The following is a 24458-nucleotide window of genomic DNA, read 5'->3' as shown; positions in this document are numbered from 1 at the left end:
ATTGATGAATCTTCCAAATTAGTTAATGGCTTTATGACCTCCTAACTTCAAAACGGTACAATATTGATAGGACTGGTTAAGAGAATAAAGTTCAGGGTCAAAACTATTATAGATGTTTCAGAAAGATGCAGAAAGTGAGAAGACTATGTCAAAGACAAGGGTGGAGAAAAATAGAGCTATATTCAATCATAATTCTCATACTCAAGGAAATAGTTGTGTTTAGCTCCTTAAACTCTCTCAGGCTAGTCACTAACCCAGGAAAGAACAAGTCCGCATACACCCTCCTCACCTCACACATGCAATATCTTGGGAAATCATCAAAGTCAAAAGACCTGTTGAAAATCAACTTAAAGCAACAGTGTTACGGTTAAAAGGAAAAATGGAATGCTTAAGGGCAGGAGAGGGGCACACTGGAAGAAAGATGCCACGCTGACAACTGTCCCCGCAGGCCACACACGCACTTTTAGAGCCAATCAAAAGGCACAGGGCTAAAGGTTTAATTCTGAAGAGCAAGACTTTTGAAATGTAACTGAATTCTTCCCAAAACTTCTAAGAAGAAAAATACATAAACACATTGAAAAGGAAGAGAGCAACCTAAAAAGAAAGCTTGGCCCCTCATGAGGGTGATGCAGAAAGAGATGAGAGGGTGCAGGCAAAAGATGGGTCAAAGAGATAGCACAAAATTACTCAGTCTCTGTGAAAGGTTTTAAAAGGAAAACATGTTTACAGTAAACAAAAGATCAATTCCACACCTTTTTTTTTCTTTTTTTTTTTTGGTTAAAACACACAATTAATTCTAGTTTGTAATTTTCTCTTAGTTAAGCCAAAATTGTCTTCTTACTTCTAATCATACCATCAATCCAAAAAACAGTTTATTAAGCCTCCACCTACTGAGCTTCATCTAAAAGCACAGTGCTACCTGCGGGGGAAATTACAATGACTTGCAAAACAGGAATGCCTTCCTCTCAAACTCTGTGTTTGAGATTAACATTTAATTTTACTAACACGATGCTCAACCAGTGCTCAAGAAATGCAAAAGATAACTGGCCCTTGGGGTTTTGTCTGGCCTGGGATTGTCTGAGATATTGAGAAAATGTATTTTCAACCCTATTGGTGAAAGGGTGGGGTTCATTTAGTTGGAGATACTAAAAGAAGACATCCTAAGTGAAGGACAAACTGGGAGAAAAGGTCTGAAGGCTAGAAAGCGCAAGGCATGTTCTAGGAAATGCAAATAGACCCCTTGGGCATGAAGAATGGTGAGGAGAAGGGAACGGTATTGAAGACCTGACCAGCTGCACTCACAATTGTACTGTTTGGGCTTGGCATCAACAACTTTTGTGCAGATTCAAGAACCTCATTTCGACCTGCTAAATATGTGTGTGTATGTGTGTCTGTGCGTGTGTGTGTTTCTACATAAGAAATTTTGAGAGGGAAGTAATTTACATATTTCAAGAAAATTATGATGCAGGGTATCTGAAATTAATCATTATCACAGCCAGAAATATCTTTAGAGCAAACTAGCAAACTATTTTGTAGGCTGTCTGCATTACTAATGTATTTATTATAATATTTACATGCCTAGTAGGACTACAATTTTGATATACAGACTTAAAATCACAGAATTAACACAAAACAATAAAATGTGCCCCAGCTCAAAGGAACAGCAAAAAAAAGAAATATTACATTAGCAGAATAGAGAACCTACTGGTATTTTAACAGACATAAAGAAAAATAAGACTTTCTACAACAGAGATACAAATCTGATTACATATAATAGATGGAAAAAAAAACCTTGGAATGACCTAGTAAGAGCATGTCTTTCTTATGTTGCTCTTTGAATTGAGAAATAACAACAAAAGTGTTTGAAGAACTCAACCTCTCTGATGAGAGAAGAGTGAAGCAAAATGCAGATTTATCTAGAAATTATAAAGAGCAAGTCACTAAGCAAACTAAGTCCCTGCCACTGTCATGGCCTAGGGTTGTTTTCCAATCAGGGATTGGATGAAGGGACCATCCCCTGGTGCTATCATGAGTTAGCTCCTTGAAACTCCAATCTTGATTTTCCCTGCTGTAAGAAAACAGTCTAGACTCTGACTGCTGAAGCCTTTCCCAGCTTTAGAAATTTCTAACACAGCCTACTGTGATGATTGTCATAAAAGATGGTAACTATAAGAATATGGTTAAAGACACTCTGGCGTCCACTGTCTCTCTGAACTTCACGTTATGAGCGATAGCAAGTATCCTTATTGGTTTCATCAGATTGTGTCAGAGTTTTCTCTTATTTTCAGACCAAAGCTGATCATGTTTCTAATCGAGGTTTAAATGTTTAAACATGAGCTAAGAAAATTACATTTTCTAAGTTTTATTTACTAGCTGTGTAAATTTAACAAATTGAACATAATATACATTGCAATAATCTTATATCTATTTGTAAATAAATATAGATATGTATATATGAGACTTTCCATGGTGCCCAGCTCTTCATCCACACTCAGTGAATGTTAATTATCATTAACTCTCAATAGCTAACATTTGAATGGCACTTTGCAGTTTTTTTTTAAAAAAAATCATTTTTCCCCCACTTGATTGTCTCTTCATCCCTGTAAGGTTCTATTGTCCTAGTTGAAAGCTGAACTAAGTGAGAAAATTGATCCAAGAAGATAAATGACTTTCCTAAGTCAAAAAGCTAATTAGAGGTTGAGTCAGAACTACCTTGTCTGGCTCCAAATATCTTGCTGTTTCCACCACACTATGTAATCTTTTACTATTTGCCATTAATAGAGTGAAGAGGTCAAAAATAAAAATCTATGTTGGTGAGTCAAAATGCTCTTCTTATTGGCCAATGGAACTCTATGATAGAGGAAAAAAAGAACTTAGAAAGTTATTACAGAAATCTTCACTGGATATTCAATCCAGTGCTGAAGGAATCATGTTTTAAGACCTGCACACAAGAAAGCTAGTTGACATCTTTAAGAAGTCAGTTTTAGAAATAAAAGACCCATATACTAGGAGGCAAAGAAGCCTTCAGTTTGCTCATGAGGGAACAGGGGACAAAGAACTTGTGTCCCTCTGTTTTGGGAAGAGCTTTTCAAAGAGTTGGAGCAGAGAGAATGATAACTGAGGACCTACAATAGCTTTGTAATAACAGAGCATTTTATTTGTCTTGGATTCTGAATGTCTTTTAACATTGCTCTACTTGGAAAAATATATTCCTTTTGAAATTTTCTTGAAGCTGTGACCCATGTGGTCTGTTCTCAGAAAGCATTTTTTTAAGCAAAGTAACCAGTCCAGCAATCAAAAAGTAAAGTTCAAATCACTGTGATTCGTTGCTCCCTTTTTTCTGAACACAATTAATAGAATATACTTCATCCAGCAATGATACCTAATGGATATTGAACATCGTGTCATACTCCATATAATACATTAACTAATTGAACCTCCTAACACGCCTTTGAGGAAATTACTGTTGTTTTATCTCCATTGTACATATGAGGAAACTGAGTCCTAGAGAAGCCCCATAAGTGGACCAAAGCCCTGCATCATCTAAGTGGCAGAACCAAGATTCAAACCCCAGATGACTTCAGACTCGATGGCTACATGTCTATTTTCCCCTACCTGAAACTCTTCTTCCAGCGCTGATCTTCTCCAAGCTCTTGAGAAAATTTCTCTCTCAGTTCTGATCCAATTCTCTTCCCCTTTCTCTCAATTCTGCATTTCAAAAATCTAAACTACCTACCTGTCAAGGAAACAATTCGCTTTCGAGGAGAAAGGAAATGAAACTGAGCTTAAGAGGCTGAATGCTCTTTAGCTGAAAGAGGCAGCAGAAAAGAGGCTACTGACCCTCTAAAGAATATGATTTTCAAATATAAGTATGCATCAGAATCACCTGGAGAGTTTACCAAAACAAATTGCTGGGTCCCATACCTGGAGTTTCTCATGCACTGGGCTTGGAGTGGGGCTGAAAATTTTGCACTTCTAAGAAGATCAGGTTGATGTAGAAGATGCCGATCTGAGGACTGCACTCTGGGAACCATTGCTCTAGGTAAATAGCTTTGTGTTCCTACTTGAAAGAACTCTACTTTCATTTCTTCCAATTATTCAAGAGTTCTATATTACTCAAGCCTAAAGAGCATCTACCCATTGGGTTTTACCACCTCTAACCACACATTACAGGTCTCAGACTAACAGAAATGGTGCCAAGAGGGAGAAGCTGAGCTTCCTCTTCCTCCTTGCTAAAGGCAGACTTCTGAGTTTCCTGCCAGTAATTTCTCCTCCATTCTAACTTCATGGACTAGTGATCTGAGTTGCTGTGCAAAGAAATCTGTGGTCTCAGCTTCTATCCCCAACAGAAAAGGACACTCATATTCATACAAAGGTCATGGAGGGATGGCTTCTTTACACAAACTGATAGAAGAAACATATATCAAAGCAACTATAAAGGATAGCTGAAATGCTGACGTAAGAAGACCAAAATAAATAATAACAATATTCACGTCATATATCGTCTCATGAAAGGCCTCTTTCAAAGGGGCTGTAGGAACGGCCTCTTTCAAAGGGGCTGTAAGAACAGCCTCTTTCCTTAGTAAAATGTGAATACTGTACATTTGTATTAGGAATCCCATATTTAAAGCTTGTTTTTATCTAAATCAATTATAAATTAATCACATTAATTCATCACATATATTATAATTGTAATGCTGGCCTGTGAGGCCCAAATTTAGATCCCTATTTCATACTTTAGGAAAAATTTTACTTGCGCCTAATTTTTAGAGCAAAAAACCTTCCTCCTAAGCGTATGAAGTATAGATCTAGAGTAAATAAAAGCCTTAGATTGATTAGGCTGAAGCATTATTTTATTATGTGCACTTCTCAAATGATTGAACTGGATTTATTCAGCTATGTTAAATAATACATTACTTTAGCAGCAAATGCATTTTTTGCATTTTGCATTAAAAGAATATTTAAATATTCTTTTAACCTGGACAAAAATGATATGCCCATGTCAACAGCACTGGAGAGCCCACACTATCAGTTCAAACTTTTCCCATTTCCTACACAATACCCATTTCTTTAGCATTTTGAACTCATCCTGATTAAGATCTTTGCTTTCACCTATTAACTATAACCTTAATTTTGTTTTTATCATAGTGAAATAAGACCCCTCTGTGAGCTGGGGAGATACACTTTCAGGTCGATATATACTATTTTCTTTTTAACTACTATTGCAGGAATAACACATTTTAAAAAATTATGTATAGAGTGAAGAGCAGAGGAAGAGTTGCTTTGTTTTGCCATCTGAAAATTACCCTAGAGAAGTTTTATGTGTGTGTGCATGTGTGTGTATGTTTGCATATATGCATACATGTATGGATATGTATTTGCAATCTGATACTCTCAGAAAGTACAAGAAAAGGTATTCATAAAGCAAGTTCTTGAAAATGACATGAGAAGAGAAGTTTTGCAAGAGAAGAGAAGAAAGTCTGGTTGGGAAGATGGTCCCATTTGATACTATTTTGAGCAACTGACCAAATAAAGTTTTATATGGTTTAGAGCTTATGTTCTGAGGACTGAGCATAAATTGTCTGAAGCTCAGTTATTTATTTTCTTTTCTTTTTTAATTTTTAAGATAAAATTTCCAAGGCATCTCTTTGAAGTTAACTAATTCTTTTAAATTAATACATTTTCACACATAGTATCTTCTAGAAAAAAAATTGATGTGCATTATAAATGCATATACTGATTTATGAAAGAATCACATCAACTTTAGTTGGCATGTGGTTCATTAATAGTTCAACCAAGTAGACCTCACCAGGTTCAAAATAACAGAAGTTTAAAAATTAAAGATAAAATCTATAACGAACAAATATTACTATGGGTAAAAAGAATTCTTTATATTACAAATCCAATTAATTTTTTAACAAGTCGATTTTATCAGTTATTTATATGAGCTTCTGTAAAATAATGAAAATACACTTGGAAAGTTGTAGAAGAGTAAATCAAATGCATCCCCTGTTCCAAACTTATGAACACATTCGCATGTGTTACTGCATCTGGCTTAGACAATTAAATATTAACAACCTTGTCTAGTTTTTCATATTAAGAAGATGTCACGATTTTCTCTTTTCATAAGGCATCAAAGCTGAAGTATTTTTGCCTCCGTTTTCAAAGAAAAAAATAACGACAGCAGTGCACGTAGAGGCTTTTATGCAAGCCACAAGTAAGAGATAGCCAGGGGCAGAAGACACGTGGGCCCATCTGAGAAATTACTTCAGGGCAGTAAGAAGCTTGCTGAGAACAGAATTTTACTCTTGGATTCTAAACTTGAGATGCCTTCTGAGCTTATAAAACCTAGCGATTCCACAATATTATAGAGAATGACTTAACAGCCCAGTTTGAATTTTGTCACTTTAATCCATTAGTCAGAAGTGCAAAGGAAGTCTTCCATTCTACCTGTGATATTGACTACCCCACCCCAAACAGGTGGCAGTTTCCTGAATTAGCTTTGGCACATTTTTTTTTCTTGCTGTGATCATCTAACATCAGTTTGGGTTACTAGAAATAGAACTTGAAATAGGAAGCAGTCCTACATTTTTTGTTGCTCTGGAAATGGTCTGCTTATAATCTTCCATCAGCCCTCCTCTACATGCCCAACCACTAATCTACACCTTGATTGGGGCTCAGTTCTCCTTCTGATAGGGAGAGGCCCTTCTGCATTTTCCATCCGTTTTCATGGACGGATGCTCTGAAGGCAGGGCTGCCTGCTGAGCCTGGAGTCTACCAAAGTCTGTCACTTCTGAATACTCAACACCAAGCAGTGCTTGCCAAATTTAGAGCCCTGCCTGACAATCACATGGAGGGCTTGTTAAAACACGTTGTAGGGGAGGAAAAGATGTCTTTTCCTGGCCCATTGCTCGGTTCATGGTGGAGGCTCCATACAAAGAAGATATTAAATAAATGCAGATTTATTTAATATAAGTTTTACATGACATAGGAGACTTCATGAGAAAATGAAGACCCAAAGAAACAGATTAGCTTGTGTACTTTTATGCTTAGGTTTGAAGAGTGGACAGTCCCGGAGAAGTATGACTGGACAAAGGAGGTGATAAACTCGGGGAAACTTAGCAAGGCCTGTTTGCTCAGATTCTTCTATGTCCCGGTGTCTTCAGAGATAAGGATGTTTCTTCTGGGTATAGCGAAGGCACCTCTCAAATAAGGGTCTTATGATTTTACAAGGGAGAGGAAAAAGTAAGAGTGACCCTCCTCTGTGTCTGCTGTTTTCTCAAATGCCAAAGGTGCAGCATTTTGGGGTAGCACGCCTGAGCCCCACCAATAGATTGCCATCAGCGTTTCTGTTTCAGTAGGTCGGGGATAGAATCCTAAAATTATCTGCATTACTAACAAGTTTAAGCCCCCTTTGAGAACCACTAGCATAGAAGCTAGACTCTCAAGGAGAAAGATGTGTATTTAAACACACATCTGAAAAATTTGTGAATTCACTTCAAGATTTTGTTTTAAAATATTGTATTTTCATTTTTTGATATTACTTTTATTTTTATGTACTTTATTTTTTCTGTGTGAAGAATGGGGTCTTGCTATGTTGCCCAGGCTGGTCCTGAGCTCCTGGGTTCAAACAGTCCTCTCACCTCTGCCTTCCTAAGTGCTGGGATTACAGACATGAGCCACTGCACCTGACTGGTATTGTTTTTAAAGGATATGATCATTTCTTTAAAGCTGAACTACCTGGGAAAGTATAACCTACCCAAGTGCCAGATGAGCAATGTATTCATGTAGACTGAGATCTCCAGATTCCAAACGTCACCCTAAATCACCTACAGATACACCACTCTCACCCTGAACAAGTCCAAAGGGCCTCTATCATACACTCTGAACTTGACCTTGGGATTGTCTCTAAGCTTTTTCATTATGGTATCTTCTGGAGAAAACTTCATAAAATAATTTGAAAATGGTGGATGGAAGAAGGGTAAATACAGAGGAACATAAAGAAGAATATTTTACACAATCGAATAGACTCTGCTAACATCTGCTGCATTTCCTTTTAGATTTTTTCTGTATGTTTTGTTTCCTACTTTTATTTGCATTATTTCATAAGAATTTTCCAATAATTAACATTGTTTTCAATGGTGTATAGTGTTTTACCTTATAAATACACCATAGTATTTTAACCATTTCTTCATCGCTGTATATTTAGATCATTTCTAATTTATCACTATTTTATATATACATATATACGCACACTATTATATACTATTATACTTTGGTAAATATCTTTTGGCATTCTTTTCTGAATTTTAGATAATTTTCTTTAAGGAAATTTCTAAGAGTGTAATTGTTATGTCAAAGAAAAAGAACATCTTTAAGGGTTTCGATACATTCAGTAAAACTGCCATAAAATAATAAGTGGCATCTAAGGAATTCAATTGCATATAATGTGGTGTGTTAATGTAAGATTAAGAAAATGATCAGGGCAAGTCCACTGATATGGCCAGCAGGGAGACCCCAGGTTTAGCTGTGCAATGCAATTAATTTCTGTCCAGGTTGTGGTTTGACACCAGGTCATGTTTGGTGACTCTGATTTAAATATTTATGGGGACAATTCTAGGTCTGTGTCTTAATGAGAACTCCAGACAAGTAGCAATGATGTCAAAAATCTCTCTATGTCTATTCTCATTTAACTGCCAGAAGGATTCATTTGAAAACATAAATCAGAGTGTTTTTCTCCTCTGCTGAAAATGCTAAAACTGCTTTGTTTCACTCAGAGTAAAAGTCAAGGTCATTGCATGGACTTACATGATCAGATGTGGTATTGCACCTCGGCACTCATCCCCTCCTCTCTCCCTCTGGCCACAGTGTCCAGCCAGACTGGCCTCCTTCCTGAGTCTTTGTTATTACTGTTCTGACTTCCTGGAATGCTCTTGCCACAGGTATCTGCTTGTCAAATTCCCTAACTGCTCTCAAAAATTTATCTAACTATTACCTTCCTAATGAGGCCTGTCCTAACCAACCACCCCATTAAATACTGTGCAGTGACATCCCCACCTTGGACCTTGGCCCCAATTATTTGACCCTTCTGATCCTTCTCATCTTCATTTTATAAAAATATATATTCTACTTATCAATTTTAACATACTATATAATTTAGTTATTTGTTAAGTTTACTGCTTATTTTCTGTAAACTCCACAAGGATAGTGATAATTCTGTTTCATTAACTGATATGTGTCAAGTACCTAGACCAGTCCCTGATACATAGTAGAAGCAAAAATCTATTTTAATGAACTTTAGCTATCTCAGGTTGAGAGTAAGGGCTGGATAGAATATATAACCCAATCATCCATCACATGATAGTGATGGGGTTCAGGACACACTACCCCAAAATATGGCATGCTGGTGTATGAGAAAACAGCAGAAGTAGGGGGCAGTGATATAGTTTGGCTATGTCCCCACCCAAATTTCATCTTGAATTGTAGTTCCCATAACCCCCATGTGTTGTGGGAGGTAATTTAATCATGGGGGCAGTTACCCCCATGCTGTTCTCATGATAGTGAGTGAGTTCTCGTGAGATCTGAGGGTTTTATAAGGGGCTTTTCCCCCTTTTGCTTGGCACTTCTCCTTGCTGCCACCATATGAAGAAGGACGTGTTTGCTTCCCCTTCTGCCATGATTTTAAGTTTCCTGAGGATTCCAGTCATGCCAAACTGTAAATCAGTTAAATCTCTTTCCTTTAGAAATTATCCAGTGGCAGATATGTCTTTATTAGCAGCATGAGAATGGACAAATAAGGGGATCACTCTCACCTTCTCCTCGCCTTTGTGAAGTCACGTGACCATCATGTGAGAGGTGCAATCCCTGTACCCAGAAAAAGGGAATATTCTTATCTCAGAAGACACAAGGACACAGAAAGTAATCTGAACAAATAGGCCTTTCTAAGTTTCTCCCAGTTTGTTATTATTAGATTAAAACATTTTTTCCTCCAATCATACATGCCCGTGAGTGTCCACTCTTTGTCAAACCTAGCAAAAAAATACAAACATTTATGATTTCTTCAGGTCTTCATTTCCTTATGAAGGCTTCTGTATTACGTAAAATGTATATTAAATAAATTCATACACATTTCTCTTATTAATCTGTATTTTGTTGTAGGGGCTTCAGCCATGAACCTAAGATGAGTGTGGAAAAGGTATTTTCATCCCCTACAATAGCCAAAGTCATGTTGTTGTTGTCCCAATATTTTGGGAATTCACCGCATTTCTGATTTGCTCTCCACCAGTTTAACTCTTCCCTCACCCTGCAATGTGGAATAGTTCCTGCCTTGCCATATGCTCCTGGATGTCTTCTGGTCTTCCTTCTCTAGCCACCTGTGGCTATTTCTGTATATGCTTGGTCTTGGAGATGGGGACACGGGAGAGGCATCATCTTTGTGATGCACACAACTCTCTCTTGCTTTTTTTCTTAGAGCCCCATCCTTGTCTTATCCAAATGTGAGTACAATATTCAGTCCTGGAACCCAACAATTTTCTTCCAAGATAGATGCGTGATAGCCAAGACAGATAGAAGCATATACCATTTACTTTAAAAAATGGTTATAGGGAATTTATCTTTAAGAATATATGGGGACTTGTCAGGAGAAGGGAGTGTATAAATTGTTAATAAATTTTAAATAACATAAGGTCTTCATATTTTTAAAATTTAAAATTATGTGAAATGGATAAAACATCTTTTATATTAGCTTATCCAATAAGGTAAAAAAATGTAATGCTTTAGTATTATTTTAGATATATTTTAACATATCTATGAATGCCTGGGGAGGTTTAAAGGGGGCTGTATGTAAAGCTGGAATTTTAAACTTCTTACAAATTTCCATTTTAAAGGCAACAATATTGTTATATGAGACTAGCAAAGATAAATTATATTATCAAGATGAGTATTTATGAAGACATTTCCAAAGTAACCAAACTTATAACATTTTTTCCAAAACAATTTTCTCATTTTGTTCTGAAAACAAATCTAAATGTATTTTCAGCATCTCTGAAAATATGAAAAACAGTCCTGATTGCCTACCTCATTCATCACTTTTGCAATTAAGAAAACATACTTTCTTTTTTATATACTTGTTCTCTAGAAGCACATATGAGGAGTCCAAGATGAAGCAGCAAATCAAACAGTTTGGACCTGAAGGTGATGGATATAAAAATGTCACAGGGGACATCAAGAACCTAACTACGATTACTAAGAGGAAACGGGGAAGATATTAAATGCCTGGGAAAAAGTTTACTAATATCTAAGTCATTAAGCAGCTCTTGTATGACTGGTACAAACCCTGCAACCATCTTCCAAAACATCCAAAACTTTGGGAAGGCCACCATATGTCATGCTAATGGAACCCCTGTTCCCTTGGTACCTGCACTAGCTCTGATTAATGGAAGACATGCCACGAATGATACAAGTGATTACACTGCATAAGTTAGGATGCAGACAGGCCATAGCTTGATTAGATTCTGGAACAAACACCTCCTCTCTCCTGGGGCACTGCTGTCCACAGCACAGTAGTCATCTGTTAAACAGTGGCATATTTCACCATGGAGGTTACCAAGCACTAGCTTAAAATTTAACACCTGCCTTCCCAGAGCTGTCTGAAAACCTAGACCATCATCTCAAATATAAAGGAGAACAATGGCATATGAGAAGGCAAACTTTAAAATAAAAAGGAAGGATTTAACATGATGGGGAGCCTCAAATGTTACAAGCTGTGAACAAACACAGATGTGTTTCAAGCTTTAGCTGGGACAAGGTTTTGTAATTTTAATTTTGTAAATATTCTTAACTAAAAATCCATTTCCTTGTACCTCAAAAGGTCATAGACTTTGGCCAAATGTTCAGATTTGCAAGGTACAAATAATGAACCCTGGCAAAAGAAGGAAGTAAATACATTCCTAGCTATCCAGAGCTATTGACAACAAGGACCAATGGGGTGAAAGATTGTATGTTATCATACTTTTACATCTTTAAACTTCTATTGTCAGGTGGTGAGGATACAGTTAGCATTCTACCCTGTCTACCCTGACTACCCTGTCTCTGCTACTACCTCAGAAGAGCCAAAATTTTTATCAGTAAGTCCAAAGATGAACACTTTGTCCACCTGTGGAAGGAGGCCTTATGAATGCCCTTTTACATAGGAGCAGAAGGAATTCTTTAAAAACAGTTTTAATACTCTTTGCAAGAAAGGTCAAGTTATGCAAACTTGTAAATATTTAATCCTGATTTTCAGAGTGTAATAAGACTTACCTATATTGCCTTCATATTTGGCCTGCCAGGGATTTAGCTAATAGGTTCTTTAATTGTGCTAAAGACCAACACCACCTTTTCTACTTCCCTTGTGGTTGATGACTTTGACAGTGGGATTTATTTAAAAATTCTAAGGACAAAAAAGACCTCCTTCGAAGGCCACCAGTCTCTATTTAGGTGTTTTTAATGCCCTGATTAAGGTCAGCTAATGTGATGACACAGGTTAGAGGCTAAGGAGAACGTTACTTCAATTTCAAGCATTTGCTATCTGGGCCATCAGTTAAACAAGGGAATCTGAGGGCTTAATTGCAGGGTCTATGCCATCAAAGAGTTGACAATGTTTTTGGCAAATCATGATACATATAGAGAAAGCTCATACAAAACAGGCGTTAGCTGCTGATATATATAAACAAGAAGAGCATTAGGAGTCCCCAGCAAAATTACTGAATTGGGGTGTTGTATACGGGTTTCAGAGAGGAGATAAGATGTAAACTTCTTCTTGAGGATAGGGATGAGCATGTATACAATCAAAGACTGAGCTGAAGGGGAAGAATTCAGGTTATACCTAAATCTTTGGCTATAGGTTTCATGAGATGTCAGAGTATGTGAAAATTGTACTTGCCTGAAGCAGTAAAAAATTGAACCCTTTTTAAATTGAGAGAGAGAAAGAGAGAATAACTATCTCTCAAGACATATTTCTGTTTTATAGCACATTGCTTGATGTTACTTTAGAGGAATTAAACCAAACTAAAATTAAAAAAAAATGGGGCAAGTATTTCCTGGAGCATTGGTACAATTCATTGTAGAGATCTTGTTCCTTGTCACATTGAACAGAAGAAGCACAAGCATGAGCATCACAGAAAACAAAAAAAAAAGTTCTGCAATCCTATTCATGTATTATTTAAAATAAAGTCAAGGGGATGAACTGGAAAGGGCCTCCAACTTGGCTACATGAGGTCTACATGGCATTCCCTGCTCTACCTGTTCAAGTGTAGCCTGGGGTGAGGGTAAAGGAGGGAGTGTGATGGCATTAGACACTGGGGATACAACTTAGGGACATAGGCAGTGACCTAGATGAGAGTATAAACTAGAGTCATAAAAGTTTCCAGTGGAGAAGAAAGGAAAAATAATAAAAATACACAAGAAGTAGAATCAACCAGATTTACTGAATCAATTAGACAGAATGCAAGATGATGGAGGGGTGTGGGAAAAGAAAAGCTAAGGGGGACAACTAACAGGTTTATGGCTTGGGTCAGAGGCTAAATGGTTCATCATTCACCAAGATAAGAAATATTTGCAAAGAAATAGCAATTGATGGGGACAAAATTAATTCCATTTTAGACCACTGGTTTGAGAGTCCTTATGGGGTTTTTTTCTCTATTAATTTTTAAAAATCCTTACAAAAATGAAGCCTTCATGGAAAGGAAAATCAAATATATCTGAAAAGTTTCTGACCATTTTTACATTGACAGATAAAGAATATTATATGTACTCTTTTGTAAAAGTTGAATATCATATGTTTTTATTTTTCTTTAAGCATTATAGACTTTACTTGTAAGAGTGGAATGGCATTGCAAGCCAATGGTCCTGTCAAATGCATCTGTCAGTGATGGCAGGATGGTGAAGAATAACAATTCCCAGCTGCCAAAAAATTTGGCTGTTTGTCAAGAAGAAATAAAGGGGGCAATCTGCCAATTACTGCCCCCTCGTGCTCAATAACTGGCAAAGGCAAATTAAGCAATATATCACTGCAGAATGGCAGAATGTCAACATCAACATACAGCATTATTCTACCTAAAAACTGAACCCCAAGCTCTTATTTCATAGTTGAGGTCATTAGAGACCATGGAACAACTTAGCCACAACCACAGGGCTCACTGACAGAGAGGCAGGACCAGAATTCAGATCTGACTTTCCAGACAAAATTCCTTCCTTGATACCACATTTCATTTCTTATAAATATGGATTCCAAATATGGATTCATGGATTCATGGATTCCAAGGTCACATTTCTAATAGGCAGACTTTTTTCATGCTTCTATTATAAAAAGAGAATTCACAACAAAAGAGGAAAAAGGAAGATCCCTGAAGTCTCATACAACTGTGAAACCAATCCACCACTAAATAGAAGACAAATTCAGGGAGAATGTCATTCATACTCTCTACAAATATGTATAAAACCACAGGAAGAAATCATTCATAAAACCTAAATTACTTTGACCAAAAATACTCACTCCTTTCCATAAGTGAATAATTACCTCAGGCTAAATAGTTGAGCGGGGGAGAGTACGAATTTTGGTTTTCATCCATTCTTTCACTTAACTACCTTGGCACAAAGACATTTCAATAAAGAACTAGGGTTTCCCTTAAAGTTTGTCTGGTTCTGATTAATTTTGTCTTATTTTGAGGCTCACATTTTCAGGGTCAGCACAAATGATTTTTTATTATTTGTGGCTCCATTTTTGTGAATCACTACTCAGTCCATTACAGAGGAGCATAGTGAGTGCATGGTAAATATCCCCGTCCCACCCAGGCATTCTCTACAATATACTCAAGGTAATTCCTATCAGACCATTGGTATATAAAATTAAACTCATTTGCCATCTTTCATTGAGTTGAATCCACTGGCATTTTTTTTGTATGTTTAAAAACATATTTCTGAAGCTCCATGAACCACAAAACCATTTGAGGAATAATGAAGCTGAGACACTAACAATTAGAATAAATTTCAACCCCTTAAGTTTAAAGACTGTGTGTAGTGGCCGGGTGCAGTGGCTCATGCCTGTAATCCCAGCACTTTGGGAGGCCGAGGCGGGCAGATCACAAGGTCAAGAGATTGAGACCATCCTGGCCAACATGGTGAATACCTGTCTCTACTAAAAATACAATAATTAGCTGGGCATGGTGGCATGTGCCTGTAGTCCCAGATACTTGGGAGGCTGAGGTAGGAGAATTACTTGAACCCAGGAGGCAGAGGTTGCAGTGAGTCGAGATCATGCAACTGCACTCCAGCCTGGGCAACAGAGTGAGACTCTGTCTCAAAAAAACAACAACAACAAAAAATGGATATCTTTTAATATCACCACACACATACATTATACATGCAAATGGATTCACTTGTTCTCTTGCAGGGCAAAAAATAATGTTTTCTCACTATCTTTGCAAAAATTAATGTATATGACAAACACTTTCCAATCTATAACTAATAGAATCAAGGAGGACACCTAATTAGCAATTAGTCTGATTAACATTCCTTGGAGATTAATTTGTTTTACCAGATGGCCTTCATAAAAATAATTCTTAGAGGATTTGTTTTAAAAATCAGCTAAGCTAATTACAAGATGTAGGAATAGAGAAATTTTAACAATCATCCCAAGCATAAATTAATGTGTTTAAGTTGGAAGTCTTCAAGATATGACTGGGAAGTGGAAATGGCAAAAGGGAGTTTATGGGCCTGCTCAGTGAAGCTACTGAGCTAAGGACTAGAAATAGTTTGTTGAGAGGGCAAAATGAAAACACAAAGACCTAGTCAGATAGAAGCTAAAGGTGAGCAAGCTGTGAAAGAAGGGTAAATGCAAGTTAGACATTGGGAAACTAAATGGGACCAAAGTCAAGGGAAGTTCCAAAACACAAAAGAAAAAAAGAACAAGCAGGAACAGAGTCCAGAAAGAATTCTGCTCACTGTCTGCCTGGCAGCCCTATCAACTGACTTTGCCATAAGGCCACAACGAGTGGCCTGTCATCAGGATGGCATGCATTTTGAAACAACTTTGCAGAAGCTGCCAGGGATTCTCACTTACCCACAAAGAAGAGAGTTCATATTTATTAAGTGCTTATCACAAACTGAACAAGAAGCTTCATACAAGTACGATACCTCAAGAGTTGTTTTTTTCCTCACCCAAATCTTTTTCTTCTTCCTGAAACACAGTCTACATGTCTCAGCCTCTGCTGTGGCTAGGCAGGGCAATGACACTGAGTTACCATCAGTGGAGTTTGAAAAGAAGTGATGTATTCCATTATCCAGTACCATCTCATAACAACTTTCCATAAGAGATCTACCATGTCTTTCTCTGCTTGCTGGTTGATAGAAGAATACTACAGGGACCTAAGGAGTAAGTGCCTGATGACCATAGATAATGTTTCCCTACTCAGGAATACCCACAATGGACTGCTGCATTAGAAAGAAACACTAGCAATTGAAGCTAGTATTACTTACCCTTCATTAATGCACCTGTTTATCTTATTTAATCCCTACAACAATTTGTTGTGGTGATATTTATATCTTAACTTATCAAATGGATAAAATGAATGAATGAGGAATTTGAACCCAGGTCTGTCAGACTCTAAGAATCTATTTCCTCTCACCAAGTAGTCTGGTAAACAGAAGCTGAAGTAAAGAAGACATGTATTGTGTTTACTTTTGTATCAATTCAGATAAATTCAAGAACATGAATTAACCATTTTGAGTGAAGGATTCAATGGCGTTTAGTATACTCAAAATGTGTGCAACTATGTGAACATCTATCTAGTTCCAAAACATTTTTGTCACCCCAAAGGGAATTCCTTACTCAATAAGTAATAATTTCATTAGCTATTTCCCCCTCCTCTAAACCCCTGACAATGTTTTTTGTTTTGTTTTGTTTTTTTTGAGATGGAGTCTTGCCCTGTTGCCAGGCTGGAGTGCAGTGGCAAAATCTTGGCTCACCGCAACCTCCACCTCTTGGGTTCAAGCGATTCTCCTGCCTCAGCTTCCTGATTAGCTGGGATTACAGGCATGAGTCACCACGCTCAGCAATTTATTTTTAGTAGAGATGGGGTTTCACCATGTTGGCCAGGCTGGTCTCGAACTCCTGACCTGAGGTGATCCGCCCACCTCGGTCTCCCAAAGTGCTGGGATTACAGCCCCCTGGCAATGAAAAAACTAATTTCTATAACTATGGATTTACCAATTCTAGATATTTCATATAATTGAGATTATACAATATGGGACCTATTGTGTCTGGCTTCATTCACTTAGCATAACTTTTTTGAGGTTCACCCACAGTATAGCATGTTCAGTATTTCATTCCTTTTTATGGCTAAAAAATATTCCATTGTATACCACAATTAATTTCTCCATTCATGCATTTCCACAGTTTGGCTATTGTGCGTAGTGCTTCAATGCACATGTATTGATTGAGTTCCTGTTGTTCACTCTTTGGGGTATTTACCTAGAAGTGAAAATTCTAGGGGATGATGTAATTCTATATTTAGCCTTTTAAGGAACTGCCAAACTGTTTCCTACGGAGGCTGTACCATTTTACATTCCCATTAGCATTGCATAAAGGTTCCAGTTTCTCCACATCTTCACCAACACTTGCTATTTTCAGATTTTGGATTAATGCTATTCTAGTAGGTGACTTTCTCATTTCTGCAAAAAAGGACAATTGGAATTGTGAGAGGGATTTCATAGAATCTATACATAGCATTGGGTATTTTTGCCATCTTAACAATTTTAAGTCTTCTAATTCATAAGCATTAGATGCCTTCCATTTATTTATAGCTTCTTGAATTACTTTCAGCAATGTTTTATTGTTTTAAGTGTACAATTCATTTATTATTTAAATTTATTCCTGCATATATTATTCCTTTGCTCTTATTCTAAAGAAAAGTATATTCTTAATTTTCTTTTCAGTTTGTTAATTACTGGTATATAGAAGCAACTGATTTGTGTGTATTGATGTTGTGCCCTGCAACTTTGCTGACTTTGTTTACTAACACTAGCAGTTTTCTCTTTTTGTGGATTTTTGGAATTTTTAATATAGAGAATCATGTTATCTGCCATTAGAAATAGTTTTACTTCTTCCTTTCCAATTTTAATGCTCCTTATTTTTTCTTGCCTACATCCTCTGTCTGGAACTTTTAGTACAATGTTGAACAGCAATATTGAAAGCAAACATCCTTGTCTTGTTCTTAATTTTAAAGAGAAAGGTTTCAGTCTTTCACCATTGACCATGGTATTAATCATCAGGTTTTCATAAATGTCCTTTAACATGTTGAGAAAGTTTCTCCCATTTCTAGTTTTTGAGTATTTTTCTCATGAAAGGTTTTGGATTGTGTCAAATTCTTTTTCTGCACTGGTTAAGATAATTATTTTTTCCTTTGTTCTATTAATATGGTGTATTACATTGATTGCTGTTATCTTATTGAATGACTCTGGCATTTCTGTGATAAATCCCATTTAGTTATAATGTATAATCCTTTTAATATGCTATTAAATTGAGTTTGCTAGTATTTCTTGAGGATTTCTTCATCTATAATCATAAGGGATTTTGGTCCATAATTTTCTTATTTCTAGTGATGTCTTTGTCTGGCTTTGGTATCAGGATAAGCTGGCCACATAGAATGAGTTAGAACATGTTCCCTCTTCCATTTTTTGGAAAAGTTTGAGAAGGATTGCTGTTAATTGCTTAAATGTTGAGTAGATTCACCAGTAAAACCATCTGGTCTTAGGCTTTTCTTTGTTGGGAAGTGTTTAATTACTGATATAATTTCTTGTTATATAAATCTGTTCAAATTTTGTTTCTTCATGAGTCAGTTTTGCTACCTTGTATGCTTCTAGAGAATTGTCAATTTCATCCATGTTTTGTAATTTGTTAGCATACAATAGTTCAAATATTCTCTTATGATCTTTTCGTGGTAGAAGGTCTATAGAAATGTCACCACTTTCATTTCTGATTTTAGTTAAGTGCAACTTCTATTTTTTTCTGATTTCAGTTAAGTGCAACTTCTGTTTTCTTCTGATTTCAATTAAGTGCAACTTCTGTTTTTTTCTTCGTCTTGCTAAAGATTTGACAATTTTGTTGATCTTTTCAAGGATCTAACTTTTAGTTTTATTAACTATATCTCTGATGGCTAATTTTATGTATCAGCTTGACTGGTCCCAGACATTTGGCCAAACATCATTCTGGGTGTTTTTGTAACAGTGTCTCTGGATGAGATTAACATTTGAATTAGTAGACTGAGTAATGCAGACTGTCCTTCCTCCCTAATGTGCTTGGGCTTCAACCAGTTAACTGAAAACCTCAACAGTACAAAAAAAACTAAATAAAAAGAAACCCTTCTGCTTGACTACCTTTAGCTGAAACATTGCTATTTTTCTGCCTTTAGACTCAAACTGAAACACTGGTTGTTTTTGAGTCTGAAGCCTGCCAGACTCAAAAAGCCATTGGACTGGAACTTATATTCTCAACTTTTTTGGTTCTCCAGATCTTGGATCTTTTCAGCCTCCATTATCAAGTGAACCAATTCTTTATAATAAATATCTTGATAGAGATAGATAGACAGATAGATAGATAGATAGATAGATAGATAGATAGATAGATAGATTAGATGGATGGACAGAGATATAGATATCTTCTTAGCTCTGTTTCACTGGAGAACACTAATACTAATGTTTCTTCTTGAGTCAGTTTTGCTACATTGTATGTTTCTAGAGACTTGTCAATTTTATCTCTGTTCTGTAATAGTTCGAATATTCTCTTATGATATTTTTGTTGTAGGTCTATAGAAATATCACCATTTTCGTTTAGTCAGGGGAATTAGTCAAGGTCCTCCAGGTTTACTCTGATGTTTTTCTATCCTCTATTTCATTTATCTCTGCTCTAATAATTATTATTTCCTTTTTTAATACAAGCCTTGGGCTTAGTTTGCTTATTGTTTTCTACTTTCTTAAAGTGCAAAATTGGATTATTGATTTGAGATCTTTATTTTTAATGTTGGCATTTACAGCTATAAGTCACCCTCTGAGCACTGCTTTTTCTGCATCCTGTAAGTTTGTGTATGTGTGTTTTTATTTTCATTCATGTTTAGGAATTTTGCAATTTACCAGAGTGATTTCTTCTTTGGTTTATTGGTATTAAAGAGTGTGTTATTTAATTTTATTTTTCACATATTTGTGGACTTTCCAGTATTTTTTGTTGTTGTTGTTATTGGTTTCTAACTTCATGTCATTGTGGTCAGAGAAGATCACTTACATGATTTCAGTCTTTTCAAATTAATTGAAAATTGTTTTTGTGGCCTACCGTATGGTCTATTCTGGAAACAGGCCCAGAAGAAATTGAGAAGAATGTGTATTCAGCTGTTGTGGAATGGAGTGTTCAAAATCTCTGTCAGGTCTAGTTGGTGTATGGTGCTATTCAAGTTCTCTATGTCCTTCTTGGTCTCCATTTCAGTGTTCTATCCATTACTGAAAGTGGGATATTTAAATCTCTAATAGTTACTGTAGAACTATCTATTTCTCCCTTGAAGTCCATCAGTGTTTGCTTCATATCTTTTGGCTCTGTTGTTTGTTGCCTATATGTTTATAAATGCTATGGCTTCTTAAAGAATAGACTCTTTTATTAATATTTAATGTCCTTCTTTCTCTCTTTTAATAGCTTTTGACTAAAAGATCATTTTGCCTGATATTAGTAGAGCCACCCTGGCTTTCTTTTGGTTACTACTTGCATGGAATATCTTTATCCATATTTTTGCTTTGAACCCACATTTATCTTTAGATCTAAAGTAATCTCTGGAATCGTGTTTTTATCTGTCTGACCATTTCTGCCTTTGGGAAAATTTTATCCATGAGCATTTAAAATAATTACTGATAAGGAAGTTCTTAATTCTGTCATTTTGCTATTTGTTTTCTGTATATGTTATACTTTTTTTGTTCCTTATTTCCTTCATTATTGCTTTCTTTTGGGGTTAACTGACTTTTTTTTTTTTTAGTGTGCCATTATTACTTCTTCCTTATTTCTTTTTGTGTGTTTTTTAAAGATATTTTCTCAGTGGTTACTGTGGGAATTATAATTAGCATCCTAAATTTACAGTAATCTATTTTGAATTGATATCAATTTAGCTTCAATAGATAAAAAGAGTGTCCAAATGCAGCTTTTGCCTGCTTTATGTTGTTATTGTTACAAATTACATCTTTATGCACTGTGAGGCAATTAACCATATATTTATACTTTTTGTGCATTTGCCTTTTAAATCATATAAGAAATCAAAAGAGGAGTTATTAACCAAAGATAAAATAATACTGGCTTTTACATTTACCTATGCATTTACCTTCACCAGAGTTCATTATTTCTACATATGACTTCAACTTACTGTCATTTTAGCCTGAATAATTCTGTTTAACATTTCCTATAGGGCAGGTCTACTATTAACTTCCTCAGATTTTGTCCATCTGTAAATGTCTTAATTTCTCCATTTTTGAGGGATAATTTTGTCAGATATAGAATTCTTGGTTGATTGTTGTTGTTTCTGTCTTTTCATTTGAGTACTTTAAATATATCATTTTGCTCTCTCTGGCTTCCATGGAATGAGAAATCTGCTTTTAATCTTGTTGAGCATCTCTTGGACACAAGTCACTGCTCCCTTGTTGCTTTTCAGAGTTTCTTTGTTTCTAGTGTTTAACAGTTTGGTTATAATGTGTCTCACCGTGAGTCTCTTTGTGTCGATCCTTCTCGGGATTCATTGAGCTTCTTATATGTGTGGATTTTTACATCTTACCAAATATGGAGAGCTTTGGCCATTATTTCTTTGGCTATTCTTTTGCCTCTTTTTCTCTCTCCTATTTTTCTGTAATTCCAATCATGCACATGATAATATGCTTTAGGTGTATATACAAGTCAGTGTATTACATATACATACATATTACAGGTTTTTTAGGCTCTGTTCACTTTTCTTCATTCTTATTTCTCTCTGATTTTCAAATGAGATCATTTTAATTGACCCACTTCCAGTTTGCTGATTCTTTCTTCTACCTACTTGAATCTTTTATTGAAATCATCTGGTGAAATTAGCTCTGTGTTAGGGCACTCCTTGATTGCTTAGCCATGCTATTTAAAATTCTGTCTTAACCTTCACTTCCTGCTTGCATTGGCCTAGCAATCAGCATGAGTTGATAGCTCAAGGTCTTCTCATGTCATTTCTAACAGGTGTCCTGCACTGGGTGTGCATGTGGTTTTTAATCTCTCCAGTATATACAGACACTTTTGAATGATTTAGTTTCCCAGATAAACTATCTTTCCAGTTTTTCCTCCCAGGATTTCAGTTCTTCATTATTTGCCTCAACTACAACCTTTTGCCCCAGGTGGCTGGAGGTTGTTCATTGACCCTATAATATTTTCAAGAAATACCCACTGCTTTTTCACCCTGAATGAGTTCAAGTTTAGGCAAAATAAAGACAAACAACTTGCATCAGTCCCTCAGGCAAGCCCCAAGATTTGTTTGAATAGATAAAGTCTTGCTTTCTCCCTACAAAATCAGGGACACGGTCTCACACTGGGAACATGGGCTTCAAAAATTCTACCAAGCCGGGTAGGGGAGTATAGAAAGGGTATGTAAAAGTACCTTGAAGTTTTTATATCATTTTTTAACAATTATTTTATTTTAAGTAAAGATGGTGTCTTGCCATGTTGCCCAGGTTGATCTCAAACTGCTGACCTTAAGCAATTTTCCCACCTTGGCCTCCCAAAGTGCCGAGATTACAGGCATGAGCCACTGTGCCTGTCCGCTCATTTTTAAAGTTGCCTTTTTTTTTTCTTTTTCGATTAAGCATTCACTTGGTTGCTGTAAACATTTGACTGTTTTCCAGCGTGCTGACAAAGTTGATTCTGACAGCTTTTACTTGATTTCTTGGTTTCCAAAAGCAACAGGCCCTTGAAACTACTTTTTCCACCATTTTTGCTGACATCACTCACCATGTAAATTTCAACAGGACACTGGGTAAAACTTACTGGTCCTAATGATATTTTACCTTTTAATGATATTTTACCTTTGTCCTAGATATTCATTATTTCCATGAAGAGCTACCCATTATTACCAACTTAACTAATGCATCACAAATATCATCTCATTAGACCCACAAAATAAGTGGGATGAGTGAAAAAATAATAACACAATTATGGGACAGATTTTCAGAAGAGTTTTAGTCATGAAATAAAAAATATTTTTGAAAATTGATATTTTAAAATGTATTAGTCTGCTCATATGCGTTTTTGGTTGGAAAAATGCCACATTCAGGAATTTGAGCTTTAGAGTATCCAACATACACATAGACATTCATTTATCTCTTTCAAAGCCTCCCCATCCACTACACCCAGTGGAAGAGGTGGTGGTAGGCAGAAGTATAGTGAGCAACAACACACACCTTATTCCTTGACTTGTTCATTAAGAGAAATGAGAAGAAAACCCCCAGAGAAGGTGAGAGCACTAGGAGGGATTCCACAAAACAGAAGAGAAACATTCCACACATTACTCCAGTAAGAAATCAACTTCAGTTATTGCATGTCATTTTTTTTTTTTTTTTTTTTTTGAGACGGAGTCTCGCTCTGTCGCCCAGGCTGGAGTGCAGTGGTGTGATCTTGGCTCACTGCAAGATCCGTCTCCCAGGATCATGCCATTCTCCTGCCTCAGCCTCCCGAGTAGCTGGGACTACAGGCGCCCGCCACCATGCCTGGCTAATTTTTTTGTAGTTTTAGTAGAGACAGGATTTCATCGTGTTAGCCAGGATGGTCTCGATCTCCTGACCTCGTGATCCACCCGCCTCGGCCTCCCAAAGTGCTGGGATTACAGGTGTGAGCCACCGCACACGGCCGCATATCATTTTTTAAAAGGCAAAATTTCTCCATTTTTTCAGTGAAAACTTTTGAAATTTATGCTTTTCAGAAAATCAGGTTTTGACTGATATATTAAGGAGAAAATGATAAAAGCAGATTACAAAATTTTTTCTGATCTTAACTGAGAATATTTAAAAGTTTTATACACAAATTTCACCATATATGCAAACATATAAATATATAAATGTGTATAAATACAAACATGCATATATGCAAATATTTATACTAAAGGCATAGATAGATGAATACATGTACTAGAGAAAATCAGTAAATTAATATCTTGAATAAATCATTTTTTATTATATATGTATGTGTGTCTGTATATTCAAGTCAGTGTATCACATATACATACATATACACACACATATATACACACACATATAATGGAATACAGATACTGGTAGAAAATTTAAATAGTAGATGTATATATACCATGAACAATAAGTTTCCTTCCTAAAACACCTCCAAGTCAAATAACTATCTTCCTGATAGGCAACTGCTGTTCCTACTT

General features: G+C 36.2%; 1 protein-coding gene across 5 annotated transcripts in view, besides 1 other annotated feature; it reads right to left on the bottom strand.

The window, feature by feature from the left end:
- MACROD2 (mono-ADP ribosylhydrolase 2) overlaps window positions 1-24458 on the bottom strand; it is a 2057682-nt gene that overhangs the window by 716048 nt on the left and 1317176 nt on the right. The window lies entirely within an intron of this gene.
- Window positions 741-1242: an enhancer, noted in NCBI's record as "NANOG hESC enhancer chr20:15316554-15317055 (GRCh37/hg19 assembly coordinates)". NCBI's record gives its function as "activates a minimal SCP1, AML or CMV promoter by ChIP-STARR-seq in primed H9 embryonic stem cells {active_cell/tissue: H9 hESC(primed)}" and the evidence as "EXISTENCE:reporter gene assay evidence [ECO:0000049][PMID:30033119]".

The sequence above is a fragment of the Homo sapiens genome, chromosome 20, assembly GCF_000001405.40.
Source record: "Homo sapiens chromosome 20, GRCh38.p14 Primary Assembly".
Classification (NCBI taxonomy): Eukaryota; Metazoa; Chordata; class Mammalia; order Primates; family Hominidae; genus Homo; species Homo sapiens.
The sequence above is the reverse complement of the archived record's forward strand: the minus strand, read 5'-3'. Positions and strand labels throughout refer to the sequence as shown.